The 25,915-nt window shown below is 38.0% G+C and overlaps 1 protein-coding gene and 1 pseudogene across 6 annotated transcripts in view, besides 1 other annotated feature; both read right to left on the bottom strand.

The window, feature by feature from the left end:
* MYRIP (myosin VIIA and Rab interacting protein) overlaps window positions 1–25,915 on the bottom strand; it is a 451,408-nt gene that overhangs the window by 289,712 nt on the left and 135,781 nt on the right. The gene's annotated exons all lie outside the window — the stretch shown is intronic.
* On the bottom strand, window positions 344–485 carry RNU4-56P (RNA, U4 small nuclear 56, pseudogene; annotated as a pseudogene).
* Window positions 9,518–9,812: a silencer, noted in NCBI's record as "tiled region #6637; K562 Repressive non-DNase unmatched - State 24:Quies". NCBI's record gives its function as "represses a minimal TATA promoter and a strong SV40 promoter by Sharpr-MPRA in K562 cells {active_cell/tissue: K562}" and the evidence as "EXISTENCE:reporter gene assay evidence [ECO:0000049][PMID:27701403]".

Here is a 25,915-nt window from a genome sequence, read left to right as displayed (position 1 = left end):
ATGGAATTCAAACTGGGGTAGTTTACTAATTTTGTTTTTATGTCTGGCAAATAAGTGGGGAAAAGTAGAAATGTATGATCACTAAGAGCATCGAAAGGAGATGGGGGGCTTTGTCTTATTATCAGAGTTTAGGTTAACACACACACACATACACATATGTAAGATGCTACAGTTATTCTAACACAGTTCAAAATGCTTCTTCAATCTCTTATCTATTTCCCTGTTATGAAATGAACTTCATATCTATTTTATGAATTAGTTGAGGTAACAGCAGTTGTGACAATTATAATAACAGTAGCAGTTATTATATTGAATGCTATCTATTGTATTTTTTTTAATTTAGTCTCTTTGGAGACTATCAAAAACTGCCAATGCCAACTATATTTAAAGTCATCACAGCAGGGTACTGGGAAAAGTTTTCAATCAGCAATAATTGTGCTTCAGATAAACCTCATTGGCTACAACAATTGCCACTGTGTGAAGCTCCATCTATTGTTAAGAGTAACGAACACACAAACTAGAAAACCTAGAAGAGACAGATGAATTACTGGACACACTCTCCCAAGACTGAGCCAGGAAGAAACTGATTCCCTGAACAGACTTAACAACAAGCTCCAAAATTGGATCAGTAATAAACAGCCTACCAACCAAAAAAAGCCTGGGACCTGATAGATTCTCAGCCAAATCCTACCAGATGTACAAAGAAGAGTTGGTACCATTCCTACAGAAACCATCCCAAAAAATTGAGGAGGGACTCTTCCCAAACTCATTCTATTAGGCCAGCATCATCTTCATACCAAGGCCTGACAGAGACACAACAAAAAAGGAAAACTTCAGGCCAATATCTTTGTTGAATATTGATGCAAAAATCCTCAACAAAATACCTGCAAACAGAATCCAGCAGCGTAACAAAAAGCTAATCCACGATGATCAAGTAGGCTTCATCCCCAAGATGCAAGGTTGATTCAACATATGCACATCATTACATGTGATTCATCACATAAACAGAACTAAGGACAAAAACCACATGATTATCTCAATAGACCCAGAAAAAGCTTTCAATAAAATTCAATACCCCTTCATATTAAAAACTCTCAATAAACTACTTATTGAAGGAACATACCTCAAAACAGTAAGAACCATCTATGACAAACCCACAGCCAACATTATACTGAATGGGCAAAAGCTGGAAACATTTCCCTTGAAAACTAGCACATGACAAGGATGCCCTCTCTCAGCACTCATATTCAAAACAGTATTGGAAGTCCTAGTCAGGGCAATCAAGCAATAGAAAGAAATAAAGGGGATCCAAATAGGAAAAGAGGAGGTCAAACTATATGTTTGCAGACAACATGATTCTATGTCTAGAAAATCCCAGTCTCGGCCCCAAAACTCCTCCAGCCAATAAACAACTTCAGCAAAGTTGCGGGATACAAAATCGATGTACAAAAATCACTAGCATTTCTATACACCAACAATAGCCAAACTGAGCACCAAATCAAAAAGGCAAGCCCATTCACAATTGCCACACAAAGAATAAAATACCTAGGAACATAGCTAACCAGGGAGGTGAAAGATCTCTACAATGAGAATTATAAAACACTTCTCAAAGAAGTCAGAGAAGATGGAAACAAATGGAAAAACATTCCATGCTCATGGATAGGAAAAATCAATATCATTGATATGGTCATACTGCCCAAAGCAATTTACAGATTCAATGCTATTCCTATCAAACTACCAATGACATTCTTTGTAGAACTAGAAAACAACTATTTTAAAATTCATATGGAACCAAAAAAAGAGCCTGAATAGCCAGGGCAATCCTAAGCAAAATGAACAAAGCTGGAGGTATCATGTTACTTGACTTCAAACTATACTACAAGGCTTTGGTAACCAAAACAGCATGGTACTGGTACAAAAACAGGTATATAGAACAATGAAACAACAGGGAGCCCAGAAATAAGTCTGTACACCTATGACCATCTGATCTTCAAGAAAACTGACAAAAATAAGCAATGGGGAAAAGACTCTCTATTCAATAAATGGTGCTGAGATAACTGGCTAGCCACATGCAGAAGATTGAAGCTGGACCCCCTCCTTATGCCATATACAAAAATCAACTCAAGATAGGTTAAAGACTTAAATGTGGCCAGACGTGGTGGCTCACACCTATATTCCCAGCACTTTGGGAGGCCAAGGCAGGCGGATCACTTGAGGTCAGGAGTTTGAGACCAGCCTGGCCAACACAGCGAAACCCCATCTCTTAAAAATTAGTCTGGTATGGTGGCACGTGCCTGTAGTCCCAGCTACTTGGGAGGCTGAGGCATGCCCAGGAGGTGGAGGTTGCAGTGAGCCGAGATTGTGCCACTATATCTCAAAAAAAAAAACAAGTTAAATGTGAAACCCAAAACTATAAAAACCCTGAAAGACAACCTAGGCAATACCATCCTGGACATAGGAATGGGCAAAGATTTCACGGCAAAGACACCAAAAGAAATTGCAGCAGAAGCAAAAATCAAGTGTGATCTAATTAAACTTAAGAGCTTCTGCACAGCAAAAGCAACTATCAGCAGAGTAGACAACCTACAGAATGGGAAAAAATTTACAAACTATGCATCTGACAGACGTCTAATATCCAGAATATATAAAAAACTTAAACAAATTTACAAGAGAAAAACAACCCCATTAAAAAGTGGGCAGAGGACATGAAAAGACACCTTTCAAAAGAAGACATAACGTGTGGCCAACAAGCATATGATAAAAAGCTCACTATCACTGATCATTAGAGAAATGCAAATAAAAACCGCAGTGAGATACCATCTCATGCCTATCAGAATGGTTATTATTAAAAAGTCAAAAAATAACAGATGCTGGCAAGGTTGCAGGGAAATGGGAACACTTATACACTGTTAGTGGGAGTGTAAATTAGCTCAACCATTGTGGAAAGCAGTATGTTAATACCTCAAAGAGCTAAAAGCAGAACTACCATTCAACCCAGCAATCTCATTACTGGGTATATACTCAGAGGAATATAAATCATCTACCATAAAGACATACATGCAAATATTTATTGCAGCATTACTCACAATAGCAAAGACTTCAATCAACCTAAATGCCCATCAAGGACAGGCTGGATAAAGAAAATATGGTACATATGTACCATGAAATAATATACAGCCCTAAAAATGAATAAGATCTTTTCTTTTGCATGGATGGAGCTGGAGGCCATTATCTTTAGCAAACTAATCCAAGAACAGAAAACCAAATACCACATGTTCTGACTTATGAATGGGTGCTAAGTGATAAGAACTTATGAATACAAAGAAGGAAACAACAGACACTGGGATCTACTTGAGCAGGGAGGATGAGAAGAGGGAGAAGAGCAGAAAGATAACTATTGGGTACTGGGCTTAATACCTGCATGATGATATAATCTCTACAACAAACTCCCATGACAAACTTTCACATATACGCCAAACCTAAAATAAAAGTTTAAAAAAAGAGTAATTTACATTTACATATACTGTCTGCCCCTAAATAACCCTGCCAGATAACTATGGTTACATTATTTTAAGGTGAGAAAACTGAGGCTCAGAGAAATGACATAGCTTGTTCAGGTTCACATGCTTGGAGCTGCTGTATAATGTGAGTGAAGGGCATTCTATCTCCTGTGTGCCCTTCTGGGTCCACTCTCCATTGTGCCCTCAGGTGGCTAATTTCAAGGGATCACATTGGTGGGCCCTTGGCCCTCTGATATGTGGTGGGTTCAGCCATTTGGAAACCCTGGCAGGTGACTAGAGGGAGAGAGTGAGGTGGATTTTCACAATCAGGGTACCGTATTTCTTCCCCCTTGGTTCCGTCTCCAGAGGACTAATTACATTGCTTCGGCAAAGGCCACGGCACCTATGAGGGCAACTCTCCGTCCTCGGCATTCTCTTTATGCTTTCAGTAATCTCTCCGTTCCCTACCCACCCCCTGCCCCCAACTGAGGATAATAATGGCTACAGGGTACTACACTATCATTTCAGGTTTCTCTAGAGCTGGCTCACACCTTTTTAAACAAAACTTTTGGTTTACCCCTCCACACCTTATCCTAATTTGGGTGTACTATTTCCTGCTGGAACACTAATATCTATGCTATTCACTAAGACATGCTCTGAGGATATATAATCTGTGCCTTTAAGAAACTATTATTCTTGAAGTTGGAGCAGAAGCAAGAAAATATAGTGGTCATTCAGAATTTTCAAATGCGTATTATCTGTAACCTGTTTTCTGGTAACCATTGGAGAACCTCTCCTTTAATATCTTCAGTGTTCTTGGTAAAACTCAGGGTGCCCTCCCTTGCCTTCCAAAGCTTCTGGGCTTAGGCCTGCCTGTTTTTGATAATGATTTGGCAATAGATACACTCTAAACAGCCAAGGAAATCCCTCTGTACTTATTGGACAGAGCCCTTCAGAAAGCCTAGTTCTGAGAGGCAAGAGAGAAGACAGAACAGGCTGGGGTGTACTTACCTCGAGATCTTGGAGTAGCCACCTGTCTGCCTTAGCTACAGGGACAGAAGCTCAGGGGCAGCCACCCACATCATTTTGCTAATGGCCTTTCCTGGCCCAAGATTATAAGGACTTAAACATTCACTTTCACAATGTGTATTTCATTGCAACCACAAAAGGAACAACTAGTTTCAACTGATATCAAACATATACAATTATGCAGAAATGTATATTATTTTGCTAAATTTGAAATATTTTTCATTTAAATTTTGTGATTGTCAATTTTATGTGTGAACCTGGCTAGGCTACACTCCCCAGGTATTTGTTAATCTAGGTGTAGCTGTGAAGGTATTTTGTGGGTGTGATTAAAACCCATAATCAGTTGATTTTAAGTAAGAGGACTTATCCTAGATAATCCCAACAAGCCTGATTAAGTCAGTGGAAGTTCATGCCTGAGGGTTCCAGCCTGCCCTTTCTGATGACCTGACTCATGGATTATGGTCAAGCCTAGTCAGTCCCCAAAATTACATAAGCCAATTCCTTGCAATAAATCTCCTAATATATATCTCCTACAGGTTCTCTAACTGACCCTGACCAATAAAAATATCTACTAGGAAGATCAAAGAGTTGAGATTTTAAATATATTCTTAATTGCTATAATTAAGTAAAAAAATAAAGCTGTACTGACTCAGGTGTGGAAATGACACAGCAAATCATTAAGTAGCTCCAAATAGGGAGAATGTAGAGTTTAAATTGAGAAAAATCACACTTAGTTCTATAAAATGCTTTATTTTTTCTTTTAATGCAATTCAGAGTTACATGGCTACCAGAAAATGGTCTTAAGGAATGTATATAAAATCATCCAAATCAGTACACTTGGAGGCTTTGGGGATCTACAGATATGTACATAAAGAAGGTAAAATCCAATTGGGTCGCAATACTAATCAGTTTAATATGTAACATGTTCACAAATGCACTGTATGCATTTGTGAAAATTTATGGAAAGACATGGAGAAAAAATTATAAAGAATTATTACTGCTCTATACTTGTACATTAAATACTTTATCAAACTATTACTTAATGCCTGTATAGGGATAATTTTAACTCTGCTGCACCATCCAGGTAACGGGTTATTTCAAAATCCAAATCTGGGGTCTTCCAGTGGATTTCTAGTTTCCTTTCAAAACTAGAAAATGTCTGTATCAAAATGACCCAATATATTTATACTTCCATTGATTCTCCAAGCAGTTATAATGATCAGATGAATACACATATTAAATGAAGATTATAAGAAAAGTTTTAAGCATCTTCAAAAATTGTCATGGCCCATAAAAATGACTATGAAATTCTACTGCAGTATGCTTCAAAGCAGTATATAATTCCAAGTTCTTCTTCAAAGGTTCATGACAATTTTGTGAAAGGCCAAAAGCTCTTCTAAATAATGTTTTACTTGCAGCCTGACCCTGAAGCAAGGATTTTATAAACAGCACTGCAGCCAGGCCTCAGAGTGATTCTGCAATGAGTTTAACATCGAAACAAGACTTTGCCATGGACAAAAATCAACCTTTACCCAATTTTGAAAGGGAAGAATAAAGACCTTGGATAGGTGTTAAGAATTTATCTATAGTAACCTAATAACTAATAGAGAAGGCTCTTAGAGAGCAGAGAAGTGATTTCTTCTCACGTTCAGGCTCTAATAACAAACACAATTGTGAGGAGCCCTATGCTGCCACCTCTTTATCAGTGGTCCATTGCACAACATCTTACTGTCTCTTGGTTTGAAACTCATGCCAGCAACTTCTTACCTGCTATATTATCATGTATACCATTTAAAACTCTTCATAGTGCTTAAAATACTTTGGAAGTAGTAGAAAGCAAAGTTTTTTTTCTGAATTGAAACAAAATAGAATCCAAGTCGCTCATAATGGTAATTAAGGGCTAAAAATTAAAGAAAAGAAAGATAAAGAAGATGAAAATAAATATTTTCCCATTTTAAATGCATCAGGTGACATTCTTGGGTGAACTGTCAGGCACTAAAATAAGAAAGGAATTTAAATGTACAGCTGAAAAAGAAATCTAAAATATTAAGTCACTCAGCACCACATACTGCCCCAGATAGTATACAGAAAATAGAAGACAGTGAACTATTTTAATACTGAGTTTTAAAATTAAGAATAAAAATGTAATTGGCTAGACACAATCCTTCCGGGCTATTCTCAATCTGAAACGTAAACTTAGCTGATCTTTGCAAATGTAGATTTCTAACATATAATATGAATATGTCACTATACTAGTAAAATAAGCTGTAAACAATGAGCAAATGAGAGAAATCACATGAAAAATATTGCTTTTACTTTTAAGACAGATATATGATTATTAGAAATATAAATATACACATGTTCAGATATACATAAATTTTCAACTTTGGACATGTAGAATATCAACTTTCTGGCATCTTTAACTCAAGTACTAAGCTTTATGTTTTTACTGTGATCATAGTATTATGTTTAAATAGCAACACACAAGATAGTGCTTAAGAAGCAGGGGGTCATCCCTGCATTTGCATATGAATTCACAAGTTCCAAACAAAGTCACCTATTTCATTCATCTCTGCATCAATAGCATCTTGCACACTGTAGGACATGCAATATAACAGGGATGAAGTAGTAAGTGAATGAATGCATGCATGTATGCATGAATAAATGAGATGATGGATGGATGGATGAGAAAAAAGAGATTAGATAGGCTTAACTGACAATAAAGTGAGTTATCCTCACTTAAATATCAGTCTTGATGAGTTGTTCATAGCTCATTTCTCACACCATCAAATATTCCCCCAACAGGGAGAAGAAACAGCAACTGACTTTGCCGGCTGTTCACTCACATCATCTCATTTAATCTGCACAGCTGCCAAATCAGGTAAGCATTGCCCATTTTACAGAAAACAAGACCATATACCCTGGTACTGGGTCACCCGGAAAGTGCTGATACCGGATCCAAATCCAGACCCTTTGTAATCCAAAGTATGTGCCTTTTCTGTTTACGTTTCTATAACATCTAGATGATATGAGCCCCTTCTCGTACATGAGCTTACTGAATTATTTGCACATAATTTTATTTACTGTTGCTTTGTCTTATGTGTATGTTCTCTCATAATACCGATGTATGAGAACTTGAAAATATAAAACTAAATTGAAAAAATCAATCATCTATAATTCTACTGCTCTATAACACAGAAACTGTCTGCAAGTCAAGTGAATCTTGGCTTCCAAATCCAGCATCTTGGCCAAGAATGGGCTGGCAGATTTTCTTTCACATTCCTACACAGTGATTCTAAGTCACAGCCCACACTCAGTAACTTAGGGCTCTAAAACATGAGGCCCTGATTCTCTAAGACCTAGGGGTGCCTTTACATGCTCATTCAAGGATTGAAAAGCCCTGGGTGGGAGGACACTCTGGGCTAATGCTTTGTGAAGAAGTAACTGCACTACAGCCCTTGAATCTCTTCATTTTGCAATGCAATTTAGGCCCTTCTCAGAGGAAACATGTATCTCTGGACAAACAAAGAAGCACCATTTCACCCAGAGATAATTTTCACATGAGAATGAACTTTATAGGTCCTCAATTCCCATCCCTTCATTGAACAAGTGGAAAAAAAAAAAAAACTAGCCCAGAGACCATGTAGCCATTAGTGCTTTGGGGTCCTTATCCATCTCCAAATTATGTCCCAGCAGACTGACAGGGAATTTAATTCCTCCTAATAGTCACTCAGTTCCTTAAACAATGAAGATGCAGAGTTACAATAACAACAGGTCAGGGGTTTAGACACAATAACCACTGACACTTACTGAGGGATTACCACATGTCAGGTGATGCCTAAATTTTTATGTGCATAATTTTACTTGACCTTCATAACAATCTGGAGATAGGTGGTATTATTATAACCATCCTATAGATGGGCAAACAGGCTCTGAGAAGTTAAGCCACTTGTTCAAGGTCATACAGCTAAAAAATGGCTAATCTTCAGTTTGAATCCAGATGAATTAATTAGACATCAAGAGTGTCGATTACCATGCTATACTATTCTGCTCTTAACTGGCCTTATAAAGTCTTTTAAGAGAGTCCATTCATCTTTTGTTCATGAAACAGGATCATATAGGGATAATTTTAACCCTGCTGCGCCATCCAGGTAACCTGCCACCTAATGCCCTTATTCCCTGGGCCTACCTGAAATGCTTGCATTTAATTCCCTTTAATCTCCTACTTGTTGACTTAAAGGTCCTAATGCAAGACATGTGGCTGGCTGATGCTATAATGAGAAGCAGATATCTCAAAACAAAATAGGAAAATGTATCTTGTTGAGGGAGCTAATTTCAAGAGTAGAAATAATGCAATAGGACTAAAAGATGCAGTTTTGTGGTCTTCTGACATTAGATATCTCGACTAGTAACGGGTTATTTCAAAATCCAAATCTGGGGTCTTCCAGAGAGCAAGGTCAGGAAGTAAGGCCAGTGTGGTTGATTTTGTCCTTCAAACCCAGTGCCTTACTCTCCGGCCTCAACAATCCAGACTCAACATGTTCCTTTCCTGGTTGAACTCCCAGAACATGAAAGGAAAATGGGACTCGCAAATCGTGGGAACTGCAAGTGATTCAGTTTAGAGTAACATGAGTTGATCTCTTCTTGTTTCTCCACTTTTATTTCCTTTGGCCTTATCTATTCTAGCAGAACTGTGGTTACATCAGTAAGCCACTTCAAATCCTTTCTGAAGTAAGACAGAAGTATAAATGAATAAAATAATTATCAGGGAAATGCGTGTGGATCTCTTTGCTCTCTGGGTCTGCTGCTACCATTTCCCTTCCACCTGTAAACACCATTCTGGCTTCTTCTGCAAAAAACTCAAGGAAAATTGCCTGAAAAACAACATGTGTGGGAAATACGGTCCTTGACTTTAACCCTGAACATAATGTTCTAAGACATTTTTTAAAACTAGATTTCCTTCCAGAATTCAACTTGCACCAGTCTGCCAAATAAACATTTTGGATTCAAACAGTAGTTAGGGAAATGCTTGTATCTTAGATTTGAATGAGAAGAGGAAACTGCTGTGGTTGAGAGATTGCGAAGTGCCATTCCATTCGGCATGACATTAAAAGAGCAGCAACAATCAAAGCTGCACTTCTCCTCACCATGAGGTTCCTGTCTGCACAGCACAACACTCATGAGGGGGAGGTATCGATTTTCAGAAGGAAGATCCAGTGTACAACTTGGTCCCCAAGAAATGCAATTGTTTAAAACCAGAACCAACTAAAGTGGCTTATGTAAGCTCACATTTAAGGAAACATCTGCCTCTGCCTTGATTCCCTCATTAGCAACCTGTTATGGCTAAACTACCACATGGTGATCCAAAATGTCAATTCTTTAAAGTTGTAACTTTGCCAAAAGAAATACACAACACATATATGTGGCGCCAATAGTGCTGCTTTGATTTATAAGCTAGTCATGCTAGTTTAACTGTAGAAATAGTGCTGTCTTAATACAATATTGTTCCTCTGCAAAGCTGAATCAATTCTTTAGAGTTCTGTTTGGTGAATAAAAACAAGAGAGCAGGTCAACTTGCTAATGAACTACATTTTCCCCCATGATTAGGGAAAAGAGGGAAAAAGAACAATTATTAGCAAAAAGTTTACTGCATGCTATTATTAAACTTTGCCTCCCTAAGTAAAATTAAACAATTGTTTTGTTAATAGGACTCATGTGTTTTTTACAAGAAAGTCTCAGGGATAAATGTCCAGTGAGAATTGATTCCCACTTTGGATATGATGGGCTTTGGGGAGGTGCAGGAAAGAATGGGGGGAGAGGGACTGACACTATAAACAGACTAAACTAGGTGCAAGAGATGGGACTAGTGGGTTTCACTGCTTACGTATTTCTAAGAGCCAAACTCACTGGCTCTTATGATGCTCCCTAAGTCAGTGATGGGGACTGGAGGAACAAGTCACTGTCACATCCACTGCTGATCCCACTCATTCCCAGGGATAATGCCAGAACCAGGAGAAAGGCCTTCCTTAAGATTGGGAATGGGAGATGCCTGAGAGCTCAGGAAGCTGATGCCAGTTCCTTCTTTGCTATACACAACAAAGTCTTTTTTCCTACCTGTTTTGTACCTCATATCACAAGTACTCAGTTCAGCCTGCTCACATGGGGGGCACTAAGTTGATAAGGAATCACGAACACCATGGTGCTAGACAGGAGCACTGCCATTCAGAAGAAAAACGATTCCGGATATAAATCTGTTGAACTCTGCTTCGGTTATTCAACATATGTTACACAATATTTAATTATATTGAATTGATACTTAAAACTTTCATTCTTCTATACAATCCACTTGTTTTAGTGTTGCTTTTAATTATAAACTAAGATTCAGTAAGTTTGCTTTTTTTTTTTTAAAGTATACTTTAAGTACTAGGGTACATGTGCACAATGTACAGGTTTGTTACATATGTATACATGTGCCATGCTGGTGTGCTGCACCCATTAACTCGTCATTTACATTAGGTATATCTCCTAATGCCATCCCTCCCTGCTCCCCCTACCCCATGACAGGCCCTGATGTGTGACGTTCCCCACCCTGTGTCCAAGTGTTCTCATTGTTCAATTCCCACCTATGAGTGAGAATATGTGGTGTTTGGTTTTCTGTCCCTGCGATAGTTTGCTGAGAATGATGGTTTCCAGCTTCATCCATGTCCCTACAAAGGACATGAACTCATCCTTTTGTATGGCTGCATAGTATTCCATGGTGTATATGTGCCACATTTTCTTAATTCAGTCTATCATTGATGGACATTTGGGTTGGTTCCAAGTCTTTGCTATTGTGAATAGTGCCACAATAAACATACGTGTGCATGTGTCTTTATAGCAGCATGATTTATAATCCTTTATGTACCCAGTAATGGGATGTCTGGGTCAAATGGTATTTCTAGTTCTAGGTCCTTGAGGAATCGCCACACTGTCTTCCACAATGGTTGAGCTAGTTTACAGTCCCACCAACAGTGTAAAAGTGTTCCTATTTCTCCACATCCTCTCCAGCACCTGTTGTTTCCTGACTTTTTAATGATTGCCATTCTAACTGGTGTGAGATGGTATCTCATTGCGGTTTTGATTTGCATTTCTCTGATGGCCAGTGATGATGAGCATTTTTTCATGTGTCTGTTGGCTGCATAAATATCTTCTGTTGAGAAGTGTCTTGTTCATATACTTCACCCACTTTTTGATGGGGTTGATTTTCTCTTGTAAATTTGTTTAAGTTCTTTGTAGATTCTGGATATTAGCCCTTTGTCAGATGGGTAGATGGTAAAAATTTTCTCCCATTCTGTAGGTTGCCTGTTCACTCTGATGGCAGTTTCTTTTGCTGTGCAGAAGCTCTTTAGTTTAATTAGATCCCATTTGTCAATTTTGGCTTTTGTTGCCATTGATTTTGTTGTTTTAGACATGAAGTCCTTGCCCATGCCTATGTCCTGAATGGTATTGCCTAGGTTTTCTTCTATGGTTTTTATGGATTTAGGTCTAACATTTAAGTCTTTAATCCATCTTGAGTTAATTTTTGTATAAGGTATAAAGAAGGGATCCAGTTTCAGCTTTCTGCATATGGCTAGCCAGTTTTCCCAGCACCATTTATTAAATAGGGAATCCTTTCCCCATTGCTTGTTTTTCTCAGGTTTGTCAAAGATCAGTTGGTTGTAGCTTTGTGGCATTATTTCTGAGGGCTCTGTTCTGTTCCATCAGTCTATATCTCTGTTTTGGTACCAGTACCATGCTGTTTTGGTTACTGTAGCCTTGTAGTATAGTTTGAAGTCAGGTAGCGTGATGCCTCCAGCTTTGTTCTTTTGGCTTAGGATTGACTTGGCAATGCGGGTTCTTTTTTGGTTCCGTATGAACTTTAAAGTAATTTTTCCAATTCTGTGAAGAAAGTCATTGGTAGCTTGATAGGGATGGCATTGAATCTATAAATTACCTTGGGCAGTATGGCCATTTTCATGATATTGATTCTTCTTATCCATGAGCATGGAATGTTCTTCCATTTGTTTGTATCCTCTTTTATTTCGTGGAGCACTGGTTTGTAGTTCTCCTTGAAGAGGTCCTTCACATCCCTTGTAAGTTAGATTCCTAGGTATTTTATTCTCTTTGAAGTAATTGTGAATGGGAGTTCACTCATGATTTGGCTCTGTGTTTGTCTATTATTGGTGTATAGGAATGCTTGTGATTGTTGCACATTGATTTTGTATCCTGAGACTTTGCTGAAGTTGCTTATCAGCTTACGGAGATTTTGGGCTGAGACAATGGGGTTTTCTAAATATACAATCATGTCATCTGCAAACAGGGACAATTTGACTTCCTCCTTTTCTAATTGAATACCCTTTATTTCTTTCTCCTGCCTGATTGCCCTGGCCAGAACTTCCAACACTATGTTGAATAGGAGTGGTGAGAGAGGGCATCCCTGTCTTGTGCCAGTTTTCAAAGGGAATGCTTCCAGTTTTTGCCCTTTCAGTATGATATTGGCTGTGGGTTTGTCATAAATAGCTCTTATTATTTTGAGATACATCCCATCAATACCGAGTTTATTGAGAGTTTTTAGCATGAAGGGCTGTTGAATTTTTTCGAAGGCCTTTTCTGCATGTATTGAGATAATCATGTGGTTTTTGTCGTTGGTTCTGTTTATATGATGGATTACGTTTATTGATTTGCATATGTTGAGCCAGCCTTGCATCCCAGGGATGAAGCCCACTTGATCATGGTAGATAAGCTTTTTGATATGCTGCTGGATTCGGTTTGCCAGTATTTTATTGGGGATTTTTGCATCAATGTTCATCAGGGATATTGGTCTAAAATTCTCTTTTTTGGTGTGTCCCTGTCAGGCTTTGGTATCAGGATGATGCTGGCCTCATAAAATGAGTTAGGGAGGATTCCCTCTTTTTCTATTGATTGGAATAGTTTCAGAAGGAATGGTACCAGCTTCTCTTTGTACCTCTGGTAGAATTCGGCTGTGAATCCATCTGGTCCTGGACTTTTTTTGGTTGGTAGGCTATTAATTATTGCCTGAATTACAGAGCCTGTTATTGGTCTATTCAGGGATTCAACTTCTTCCTGGTTTAGTCTTGGGAGGGTGTATGTGTCCAGGAATTTATCCATTTCTTCTAGATTTTCTAGTTTATTTGTGTAGGGGTGTTTATAGTATTCTCTGATGGTAATTTGTATTTCTGTGGGATCGGTGGTGATATCCCCTTTATCATTTTTTATTCCATCTATTTGATTCTTCTCTCTTTTCTTCTTTCTTAGTCTTGCTAGCGGTCTATCAATTTTGTTGATCTTTTCAAAATACAAGCTCCTGGATTCATTGATTTTTTGAAGGGTTTTTTGTGTCTCTATTTCCTTCAGTTCTGCTCTGATCTTAGTTATTTCTTGCCTTCTGCTAGCTTTTGAGTGTGTTTGCTCTTGCTTCTCTAGTTCTTTTAATTGTGATGTTGGGGTGTCCATTTTAGATCTTTCCTGCTTTCTCTTGTGGGCATTTAGTGCTATAAATTTCCCTCTACACACTGCTGTGAATGTGTCTCAGAGATTCTGATATGTTGTGTCTTTGTTCTTGTTGGTTTCAAAGAACATCTTTATTTCTGCCTTCATTTTGTTATGTACCCATTAGTCATTCAGGAGCAGGTTGTTCAGTTTCCATGTAGTTGGGTTGTTTTGAGTGAGTTTCTTAATCCTGAGTTCTAGTTTTATTGCACTGTGGTCTGAGACACAGTTTGTTATCATTTCTGTTCTTTTACATTTGCTGAGGAGTGCTTTACTTCCAACTATGTGGTCGATTTTGGAATAAGTGCAATGTGGTTCTGAGAAGAATGTATATTCTGTTGATTTGGGGTGGAGAGTTCCGCAGATGTCTATTAGGTCTCCTTGGTGCAGAGCTGAGTTCAATTCCTGGATATCCTTGTTAAGTTTCTGTCTCGTTGATCTGTCTAATGTTGACAGTGGGGTGTTAAAGTCTCCCATTATTATTGTGTGGGAGTCTAAGTCTCTTTGTAGGTTTCTGAGGACTTCCTTTATGAATCTGGGTGCTCCTGTATTGGGTGCATATATATTTAGGATAGTTAGCTCTTCTTGTGGAATTGATCTCTTTACCATTATATAATGGCCTTGTTTGTCTCTTTTGATCTTTGTTGATTTAAAATCTGTTTTATCAGAAACTATGATTGCAACCCCTGCTTTTTTTTGTTTTCCATTTTCTTGGTAGATCTTCCTCCATCCCTTTATTTTGAGCCTATGTGTGTCTCTGCATGTGAGATGGGTTTCCTGAATATAGCACACTGATGGGTCTTGACTCTTCATCCAATTTGCCAGTCTGTGTCTTTTAATTGCAGCATTTAGCCCATTTACATTTAAGGTTAATATTGTTATGTGTGAATTTGGTCCTGTCATTATGATGTTAGCTGGTTATTTTGCTTGTTAGTTGATGCAGTTTCTTCCTAGCATCAATGGTCTTTATAATTTGACATGTTTTTGCAGTGGCTGGTACCGGTTGTTCTTTTCCATGTTTAGTGCTTCCTTCAGGAGCTCTTGTATGGCAGGCCTGGTGGTGACAGAATCTCTCAGCATTTGCTTGTCTGTAAAGGATTTTATTTCTCCTTCATTTATGAAGCTTAGTTTGGCTGGATATGAAATTCTGGGTTGAAAATTCTTTTCTTTAAGAATGTTGAATATTGGCCCCCACTCTCTTCTGGCTTGTAGAGTTTCTGCAGAGAGATCCATTGTTAGTCTGATGGGCTTCCCTTTGTGGGTAACCTGACCTTTCTCTCTGGCTGCCCCTAACATTTTTTCCTTAATTTCAAGTTTGGTGAATCTGACAATTATTGGTGTCATGGAGTTGCTCTTCTCGAGGAGTATCTTTGTGGCATTCTCTGTATTTCCTGAATTTGAATGTTGGCCTGTCTTGCTAGATTGGGGAAGTTCTCCTGTATAATATCCTGCAGAGTGTTTTCCAACTTGGTTTCATTCTCCCCGTCACTTTCAGGTACGCCAATCAGATGTAGATTTGGTCTTTTCACATAGTCCCACATTTCTTGGAGGCTTTGTTCGTTTCTTTTCTCTCTTTTTTTTTCTAAACTTCTCTTCTTGCTTCACTTTATTAATTTGATCTTCAATCACTGATACCCTTTCTTCCACTTGATCAAATCAGCTACTGAAGCTTGTGCATTTGTCACGTAGTTCTCGTGCCATGGGTTTCAGCTCCATCAGGTCATTTAAGGTTTTCTCCATGCTGTGTATTCTAGTTAGCCATTTGTCTAATCTTTTTTCAAGGTTTTTAGCTTCTTTGCGATGGGTTTGAACATCCTCCTTCAGCTTGGAGAAGTTTGTTATTACCGATTGTCTGAGGCCTACTTCTGTCAACTCGTCAGAAGCATTCCCCGTCCAGCTTTGCTCCGTTGCTGGCAAGGGGCTGCATTCCTTTGGAGGAGAAGAGGTGCTCTGATTTTTAGAATTTTCAGCTTTTCTGCTCTGGTTTCTCCCCATCTTTGTGGTTGTATCTACCTTTGGTCTTTGATGATGGTGACGTACAGATGGGGTTTTGGTGTGGATGTCCTTTCCGTTTGTTAGTTTTCCTTCTAACAGTCAGGACCCTCAGCTGCAGGTCTATTGGAATTTGCTGGAGGTCCACTCCAGACCATGTTTGCCTGGGTATCACCCCAGCGGAGGCTACAGAACAGCACATATTGCAGAATGGCAAATGTTGCTGCCTGATCCTTCCTCTGGAAGCTTCATCTCGGAGGGGCACCTACCTGGCTGTATGAGGTGTCAATTGGCCCCTACTGGGAGGTGTCTCCCAGTTAAGCTACTTGGGTGTCAGGGACCCACTTGAGGAGGCAGTCTATCCGTTCTCAGATCTCAAACTCCATGCTGGGAGAACCACTACTCTCTTCAAAGCTGTCAGACAGGGACATTTTAAGTCTGCAGAAATTTCTGCTGCCTTTTGTTTAGCTATGCCCTGCCCCAGAGGTGGAGTCTATAGAGGCAGATAGGACTCCCTGAGCTGCGGTGGGCTCCACCCAGTTCAGTCTTCCCAGCTGCTTTGTTTACCTACTCAAGCCTCAGTAATGGTGGACGCCCCTCTCCCAGCCTCCCTGCCACCTTGCAGTTCAATCTCAGACGGCTGTGCTAGCAGTAAGCGAGACTCCATGGGCGTGGGACCCTCTGAGTCAGGCATGGGATATAATCTCCTGGTATGCCGTTTGGAAAAGTGCAGTATTAGGGCGGGAGTGTCCTGATTTTCCAGGTACCATCTGTCACGGCTTCCCTTGGCTAGGAAAAGGAATTCCCTGACCCCTTGCACTTCCTGGGTAAGGCGATGCCCCACCCTGCTTTGGCTTCATGGGCTGCACCCACTGTCCAACAAGCCCCAGTGAGATCAACCCAGTACCTCAGTTGGAAATGCAGAAATCACCCGTCTTCTGTGTCGCTCACACTGGGAGCTGTAGACTGGAGCTGTTCCTATTTGGCCATCTTGGAACCACCCTCCAAGATGCAGTAAATTTTCTTAAGCTGATAAACCTGTTACAGATTTTGTTAATAGCAACGGAAGAAAAATTGGTTTTCCATAAGTTGCCTAACAATGAAAGCATTAATCAATGAATTAAAAACACTGTAAGGCAGGATATCTGAAATGACAGATCAAAAAACTCAGCCAGTTCTCTCCAAAAGTGAATGATTTTTAAAACTAGAAAAAATTATCAAAAATAACTATTTCAAGACCCTGGAAACAGACCGAAGGCACATAACAAGTTGAGAAGCATTTATTCAAGTAAAACTATTGAACCTCAGTGGAAGTCTGTGGAATTTTAGCTTGGGACTGCTACCATTACCTTATTATCTCCAACACATCCCCAACACCTGCCAGCTGGTAGTTCTACCAGGGTGAGACAAGCCATGAAAACCTGCAGTTTTTGCTGCAGAAAGAAACCAGATTGATTTGGAACAGAGAACAGTAAAACCTCATGCCCCGGGGCATTGTCAGAAACAGCAGCAATTCCAGAGGCAAAAGAATGGGGGAAGACAATGAAGCTGTGATCCTATTTGGGACAACCAACATGAAGACAAGCCAGAAATTTAACAAGGAGATTTGGGCAATGAGATAGCTGTAGTGAACCCTGATAAGCTCCTACATATATATCCCTGGTGGTCTGGGAGGCTGTACATATGTGGGAGGCTGCACACATACTCAGTGGCAATTGCAAAGTCCCTAGCTATTCCTACTTTCCTGTCAACGAATAATTTACTCTCCAGCAAAATTATCTTTCAAAAATGAGGGCAAAACAAAGGCATTCGTAGATAAATAAAGAGGGGGAAAATTCATTACTACCAATCCTTCACAACCTCATTGAGGAAACAGAGTTTAGGAAAAAACACTTCGTATTTCATTCTATGAGGCGGTATTAGCCTGATATAAAGCTAAACAAAGATGTCACAATTAAAGAAAATTATAGACCATCAGGAATATAGACACAAAATATCTAAAAATATTACAAAACAAATCCAGAAATACATACAAATTATACACCATGATTAAGTGGGATTTGTAACATTTGAAATCCAATTAATGTAATATACCGTATTAGTGAAAAAAGGGCAAAAACCACATCATCATTTTAATAGATACAGAAAAAGCATGTCACAAAATCCTACATGCCTTCATGATAAAAACTCTCAACAAATGGGATGGAAAGGAATTCTTCACAGCAGCATCATTAAATAATGGCTAGGGAGTGAAAACAATGCATTGAGTGAATGGATAAGCAAAATGAGGTATACCCATGTGATAGACTACTATGTGGCAATGAAAGGGAATAAATGACTCATGCATGCTACAACATGGAGAAACTAAAAAATAGTATGCTAAATGAAAGAAGCCATGTGCAAAAGATGATGTATTATATCCTATACATATGAAATTTCCAGATAAGGCAAATCTACAGAGAAAATAAGTAGAGTAGTGGATACTTGGGGCCAGGGTGGGAAGAGGCTGAATGCAAATGGTCCAAAGGGAACTTTTGAGGATAGTGAAAATATTCTAAATCTGATTGTGGTGATGATTGCATAACTCTATAAATTTACTAGAAATCATTAAATTGTACAGTTAAAATAGGTTAAATCTATGGCATGTACATTATACCATCATAAAGCGCGTTTAAAAAGAAAAACATCATAGCAACTGAAAAGTGACAGTTTTATAAAGATGATGAAAACCTCTTCCCTGTCTATGAGAGAAGCATTTTAGTCAAAGTAGAGAACTTTTGTCAGAGTCCTCTAGAATAGGGGTCAGCAAACTATGACCTGTGGGCCAAATCAGGCCCCTCACCTGTTTTTGTATGGTCCATTAGCTGGGAATGGTTTTTACATATTTTAATGGTTGGAAAAAAAACAAAAGAATAATATTTCATAATGTGAAAATTACATATATAAAACTCAAATTTAATGTTCACAAAGTTTATTGAAAGATAGCCATGCTCATTAGTTTAACCTAAGACCTATGGCTGCTTTTGTACTACAAAGTTGAGTACTTCCAACAGAGAGCTTATGATCTGCAATGTCTATGGTATTTACTATCTGGCCCTTTACAGAAAAAATGTTCAAACCCCTGTTTAAAGTAGCGCTTCTCTATTCTGAATGCACTTTAGATTTACTTGGAAGCTTGAAAAAAATACTCCCAACTGAATTCCACCAATCTCCTTCCCCTTCACCCACCCAACTACATGACAATCTTGGGACAGTGTAGTTTGTTAAAAGCTCTCTAGGTGGTTTCAGTGTCCAGCCAGGATTAGGGATCCCTGTTCTAGATCATCCATGGAGCTAAAGCCAGGGGGGTTTGAGTTTTATTTTAATACACTGACATCACATCAAAGTTTGAAAATTAGTGAGTAAAACAAATTTAGACCAGTTATCTAAACCACTGGCAGATGTAATTAGCTTATCTGTGACAAAACTTCTTGTTGTTCTGTCTCCTGAAGAGAAGGGACCCATATGGCCACTGTTTCTCAGTCAGAGTTTCCAAAATATATTAACTGAGTTTATCACTAATAACCAGTTTCTCTGTGACAAATGACTGCCAGAAGGAGGATTTCTGCAAAGAGCACTAAACCTGAATACAAAAAGGTATAACAGAAAATAAAAGAATGCCAAGATTTTGATGATTCCACTGCTCTCACTTATTTTAGGTTTCTAGATCATGTAGCCCAGTACAATCAACAACTATTTAAAAAGTAAGTGAAAATGAATGACAAATAGCATATAATATAGATTAAATGTGGCCACCAGCTCTTTGTAGCATCCGTTATCAAGCTGGAGTCTATCAGCCTAACCCTGAGCCTTGACCTCAACAGCAGCTTCTACTCATGTTCTTCTTGGAATCCGGAGGCCATCACGCTGTGAAGAAGCTCAGGATAAAAGAACAAATGGAAAGAGAGACCCAGTCATCCTAGCTGTCCCAGCTGAGGTCAGACACCAAAAATAAAAAAGTCACTTTGACACTGAAGTGACAGAAACCTTTAGAGAAAGCAATCATCTCAGAATTCATAAAACTGAAGGAATGAAAAGCTGGGCATAATCAGATGCAGCAAAGGATTTCAGGAAAGCATATGTTTCTAAAACATATGAAAAAATGTATGCATTATCAAAAGGTCAAATTCATGATGGAATACAACTTCAAAAGGAATAGAATGTATAAAGGAAAGCAAATGATAATGTAATTGTGAATGGCCTTGATAAAAGGGAAAAGGAACCCACAAATATGGTTACATGGAAAATTCTATTTCATTCATCTTTGCATTCATTCATATAAACATACAAACATGGAATGCCTATCATGTGCAAAGTACTGTGCTCTAATGAGGTTATATGTGTAAAAAGCACAAACTAAAGATGGAAGAATTCATATTTTTGAAAAACATACCCTAAAGACAAAAGAACATAAAAATTAAATGGCAGAGATCTATTAAGAACATATATAGAAAAGGTCATAATTATATAAGACATTCAAACTAAATGCTGTCTGAAATTATGTTCCAGGGTAATATAAATAAGGAACAACAAAATTGCTTGGGGCAGATGGTATAATGCTAGATAACAGATGCTAGTAGAAAAATCAGACCTCTTCAACATCTTTTATCTTCCACCTTTTCTAAGGAAGAGACTATTTTCCAGTTAAAATAAGAAACTGGAACCCAAGACAGGAGATAGATAAAATTAAAACAAAAGAGCACACAGGTGCTTTGTACTGACTTCAAGTTGCCAGTTGAGCCAAATCATATCCAGGGCCCAGAAATAACTTGCAAATATGATAGCAAACCATCTGAAGATAGGCCTTAAGAGCTCAAAGTCAGATCAATGTCATTCCACATTTCAAAAGTGAAAAGGAGGTGGATTCTGCTTAAAATCAATGCCAATAATATTTTGGAAAGACAGTTTATGAAACAGGTGATGAATGAGCACTTGGAGGGAAAAAGATTCTGAGAAGTTAGAAATCACTGACAGATAATGATTTGTGTGGCATTTTATGCAGCAAATGTTTCTCAGACTTTTTTTAGTCCTCATGATACCTCAATAAGTGATTAATATATAATTTTATTACCATGATACAGATGAAAAAATTGAGGTGATTCAACATTGAGTGTATTATGTTTAAAGTTACACAGTAAGTGGCTGAGTTACAACTCAAAATCAATTTACACTAAACTTCATTTCTAACAGGACAAGGGATTGTTACAGAGTACTGAGTCCATTTCAGCAAGACATTTGACCAAGTTTCTTGTAATATGCTTTTAGACAAGCTAGAAACTGTGAGATAGATGATGGCATGGAAAAGGAACCTCTTCTTCTTTTGGATGTCTGAAAAGCACCTCAAATTCAACTTGTCCAAAAGCAAATTCATAAGCTTCTCCCTCAAGCCTGGATCTCTTTCAGTATTTTTGCATTTCAATGAAGGCATCTTTTGTATTCCAGAACTTGACAGATATTCTTGACATGCTTCCTTCATGATCTCATACCCAATCCATCACTAAAGCCTACAAATTTTACACTAAAATACCTGTCAGCACATGTAAGGTATTATTGCTCTGTTGCTGACAATCAAGTATCTGTCTGGTTGTTATTCCTTAGAAGCAAATCTTTTTTCTCTAGCTGCTTTTGAGATCTTCTGTTTGTCTTCGGTGTTCCACAGCTTCACTAAGAGTAGTCTATATGTAGATTTATTTTTATTATCCTCCTTAGGAATTTCTGGGCTTCATGAAAATCTTGATCAGAGCCTTTCATCAACTGTTGGAAATTCTCAACCAATATCTCTTCAAATATTGCTCTAATCTATTCTTTCTCTTTTTTTTCTTCTAGAACTCTGGCTAGCCTCTCTCACTCAATCCTCTCTTTGACTCTTAACCTCTCTTTCATATTATCATCTGTTTCTTACTTCTTAATTCTAGATTTTTAAAAATTCATCTTACAGTGTTTAATCTTCACCAATGTTTAATCTGCTATGTAATATGTGTGTTAAGTTTTATTTAAATTATTACTTACTTTAATGAGTTCTTTGTTTTTAAATTTGCTTGTTCTTTATTCATATTTTCATATTTGCCTGACTTCTTTAACTCAGCAAGTATTTTCTTATTACTCTGTAGCTGTTGATTCTAGTGGCTATATATTTTACAGTCCTGGTTCTACTGCCTCTGGCTTTTACTTACATTGATTTGTTTCCTTGATTAGTAATTTTAAAATATAAACTGCTCATGATAAAAACTTTCTCTTTAAAAATTTTTTGAGTCCCAGGATGAGGGTATGTTCCTTCCAGAAAGAATGTGCACTGGAGCCAGAGGACTCCATTGTCTTTTGAGAGGCTATATGACACATTTTTAGGTTGTTCTGACTGGTGGTTTATTCAGATGATGTATCACATTTTAACTTAATTACCCCTCTCCCCAGAAAATTTATATTTTTTGAAAAGTCATCCATTACATTGAGATTTTAAAATTTGCATAGAATAATTTAGAGCAGTGATTGTCAACTCTGGCTTTACATTAGTGTCATCTTGATAGTCTTCAAAAGTCTTGCTGTCCAGGCCAGTGAAATAACAATCTTTGAGAGCATTTTCTTGTAGCTCTGAAAGTGATTACTGTGTGGAGCCAAAGTTGACAATCACTGATTTAGAGAAATTGAAGTAAACGTGAATCACCTGGCGATCTTGCTAAAATGCAGATTCTGATTCAGTACGTCTAGGGTAGTGTCTGAGAGTGTTTATTTTTATTTTCGTTTTCATTTCTGAGACAGGGTCTCTCTCTGTTGCCCAGGCCAGGCTGGAGTGCAGTGGTGCAATCATAGCTCAGTGTAGCCTCAAATTACCAGGTTCAAGTGATGCTCCCACCTCAGCCTCCTGAGTAGCTGGGACTATAGGCGTGCACCACCACACCCAGTGAGTCTGTATTTCTAACAAGCTCCCAGGTGAAACCATGGCTGCTAGTCTGTAGACCACAATTTGAGTACCAAGAATTTAGACTAGCTTTCTCTTGTAAATGTTAATCTTCTTTGTACCAGTGCTTATATCTCCTCAATGTTCTAAAATTGTTCATTTCTCTTTCTCTCTTTGAACAGTCTTATTGGGAGGTTTTTTAATACTTTATTCATTTGTATTCCTTTTTTGTATTTTATTCATTTTTTTCAGGAAACAAGCCAGCTGAATTTTAATTTGCTAATTCTACTCTTTTTCTTTAAATTGTTAATTTCTGCTTGTACTTTTCTTAATTTCTTTCTTTTATTACCCCAAGTTTTCTTTTATTACTCTTTTCATTTCCCAACATTTAAATCCCTAGTTTAATGATTGCTATGCTTAATCTCATCCTAAAATATCACAACTTTACTTGCTTTTTGTCTGTTTGACCTGTTGCACTGTTGCAAATGTTCTATTATCTCCAGCTAAGCATTTGCCTATTTCTCTTAGTATTAAAACTGTTATATTAAAAGCTGAATCTAAGGCTATCTTAACCATATAATATTGTTTACTTTTATATACTTATAAGTTATTCCTTTTTAAATTAAAATCCTACTTTGTCCCATTTAATGCTTTTCGCCTTTAGCGAATTCCAACTTTTTTTGGCATTAATAGCACCACTCCAACCTTCTTGTTTAGAATCTTCTAGTGGGTGATATATTTGTATTAGTTTTCTCTTGTGATGTAACAAATCACCACAAACTCAGTGACAACACCAATTTGCCACTGAATTGACTATCCCTCAGTTTCCATGGGTCATAAGCTCGGCACATTTTATCTGGATCGTCTGCTCAGGCTCTCATAAGGCTGAAAGGAAGGTGTTGCTTAGCTGTGTCCTCATGTGGGAGGCCCAACTAGGGAAAGATCTGCTTCCAAGCTTCATCAGGTTGTTGTCAGAGCACATTTCCTTACAGTAGTAGGACTGAGGTCTCTGCTGTCTTCCAGCTGTTGGCTGGGGACTATTCTGAGGTCCTGGACATGTGGCTCCTCCGTCTCAGCACTGGAGAACCCCCAGTTAATAACCTCTCACACTTCTCTCTCTCTGACCTTTCGTTCCTAGCAGTCAGAGAAAACTCTGTTCTTAAAGGGCTTGTCTGATTAGGTCAGGCCCATCTGGATAATTTTCCTTTCTTAAAGTCTACTGCTTCATATCACACTACATAATCCCAGGAGAATTATGTAAGATGCATACACCAGGTTAGAGGGTTGGATAGGGTAGAACCTCAGGCCCATTGTAACATTCTGCCCACCACAATGTTCATTTCTTTATTTTTATCTTTTCTATGTCACTTTATGTAGGTGAGTCTCTGGTAATCACGTTGACTTTGCTTTTCTATTAAATTTGAGGGCTTTTTATTTTTTAAGAAGCTGAACAAATTCATATTTACTGGGACAATATGCAGTATTTGATCTTTCTGTGTCATTTTATTTTGTGTTTTATTGCCACTCCCTTGACATTCTAGGGATCAAAGCTTTCTTAGATCTTTGTTCTATTTTTTTGGTTATTCAGAAGTAATATGTAGTCTCAACTTTTTTTTTGGCCATTACCTGCATATTTTTAAACCACTTAATCCTATTTTCTCAATCACCATAGAGAATAAAACAGTAGCTAAAGATATGCCTACAGAATTTTCCCTTTTCCTCTTCTCCCCTACCAAATAAAGAATCATAGCCTTTATACTCAGAATATTAGTACTTTTTATAATTTCTTTTAAGAACTACTTTTGACATCATATTAAGTTGTACAATCATAAGAACAAGTATTTAACATTTTTAAAAATTAACACAAATCTTAAAGCTTTCATTACTTACCACTTATTTTAATGTCATTTTCCTTTAACCTGCGATCTCTCTTTTGATTAACTTTTTAATTGACTAAATATAAGTAACTTTAAGTTCTTGAAGATCTGAGAATTCTTTTGGGTTACAGACTGGAAGGCACTTTCCCAACTGCTTCTGGCTTGATAACATTCCTATTATTAAGAGGCATTTGGGGTGAAGTTAAATTCAATTGTGATCTCTTGTGTCAAAGATACATTCTTTTTTTTTCTTTTTTCTTTTTTTTTTTTTTTGAGATGGAGTCTTGCTCTGTCACCCAGGCTGGAGTGCAGTGGTATGATCTTAGCTCACTGCAACCTCTGCCTCCCAGGTTCAAGTGATTCACCTGTCTTAGACTCCTGATGGGATTACAGGCATACACCATCATGCACAGCTTTTTTTTTTTTTTTTTTTTTTTTTTGTAGTAGAGATGGTATTTCACCATGTTGGCCAGGCTAGTCTTGAACTCCTGGGCTCAAGTGATCTGCCCACCTCAGCCTCCCAAAGTGCTGGGATTACAGGCATGACCCGCTGTGCCCAGCCAAAGATATATTCTTAAGGTAACCAAATAAAACATAAAACCCGCTGGGCACACCTGACTATCTGTGAACCTTAAGCATGTGGCTTAATTTCCCTTGGCTGTCTTTCCTCTTGGGTGAAACAGGGCTCAACCAAGTCATCTCTGACTTTCTTTCCAGATCTCCCAGTCAAGATCTTAGGAAACTAATAGAAAAATCAATATTTTATCAACATACTATCCCATAAAAGCAGAAGGATTAAATTCTAGTAATATTTTAATGAAGTCTATGTATATATATTTATAGTTTCAGAGTCATATAGTGATAGACAGAAAATGTAAAAATGAATATTTCTCTTGGTACCCTACTTAGAAGTAGAAGTAGAAACTCATAAACAATACTTCTTGCGATTGTATATACAGTTGTGTTATTTTAAAGTCTAAGAAAAAAACTTTTGATGAACTCACAGTATTCATCTAACAATATCACACAAGCATGTGTTTCTTAGCTTCCATTTG

The sequence above is a fragment of the Homo sapiens genome, chromosome 3 (assembly GCF_000001405.40).
Source record: "Homo sapiens chromosome 3, GRCh38.p14 Primary Assembly".
In the NCBI taxonomy this organism is placed as follows: domain Eukaryota; kingdom Metazoa; phylum Chordata; class Mammalia; order Primates; family Hominidae; genus Homo; species Homo sapiens.
Note: the sequence above shows the minus strand (reverse complement) of the source record. Positions and strands in the feature narration are given on the sequence as shown.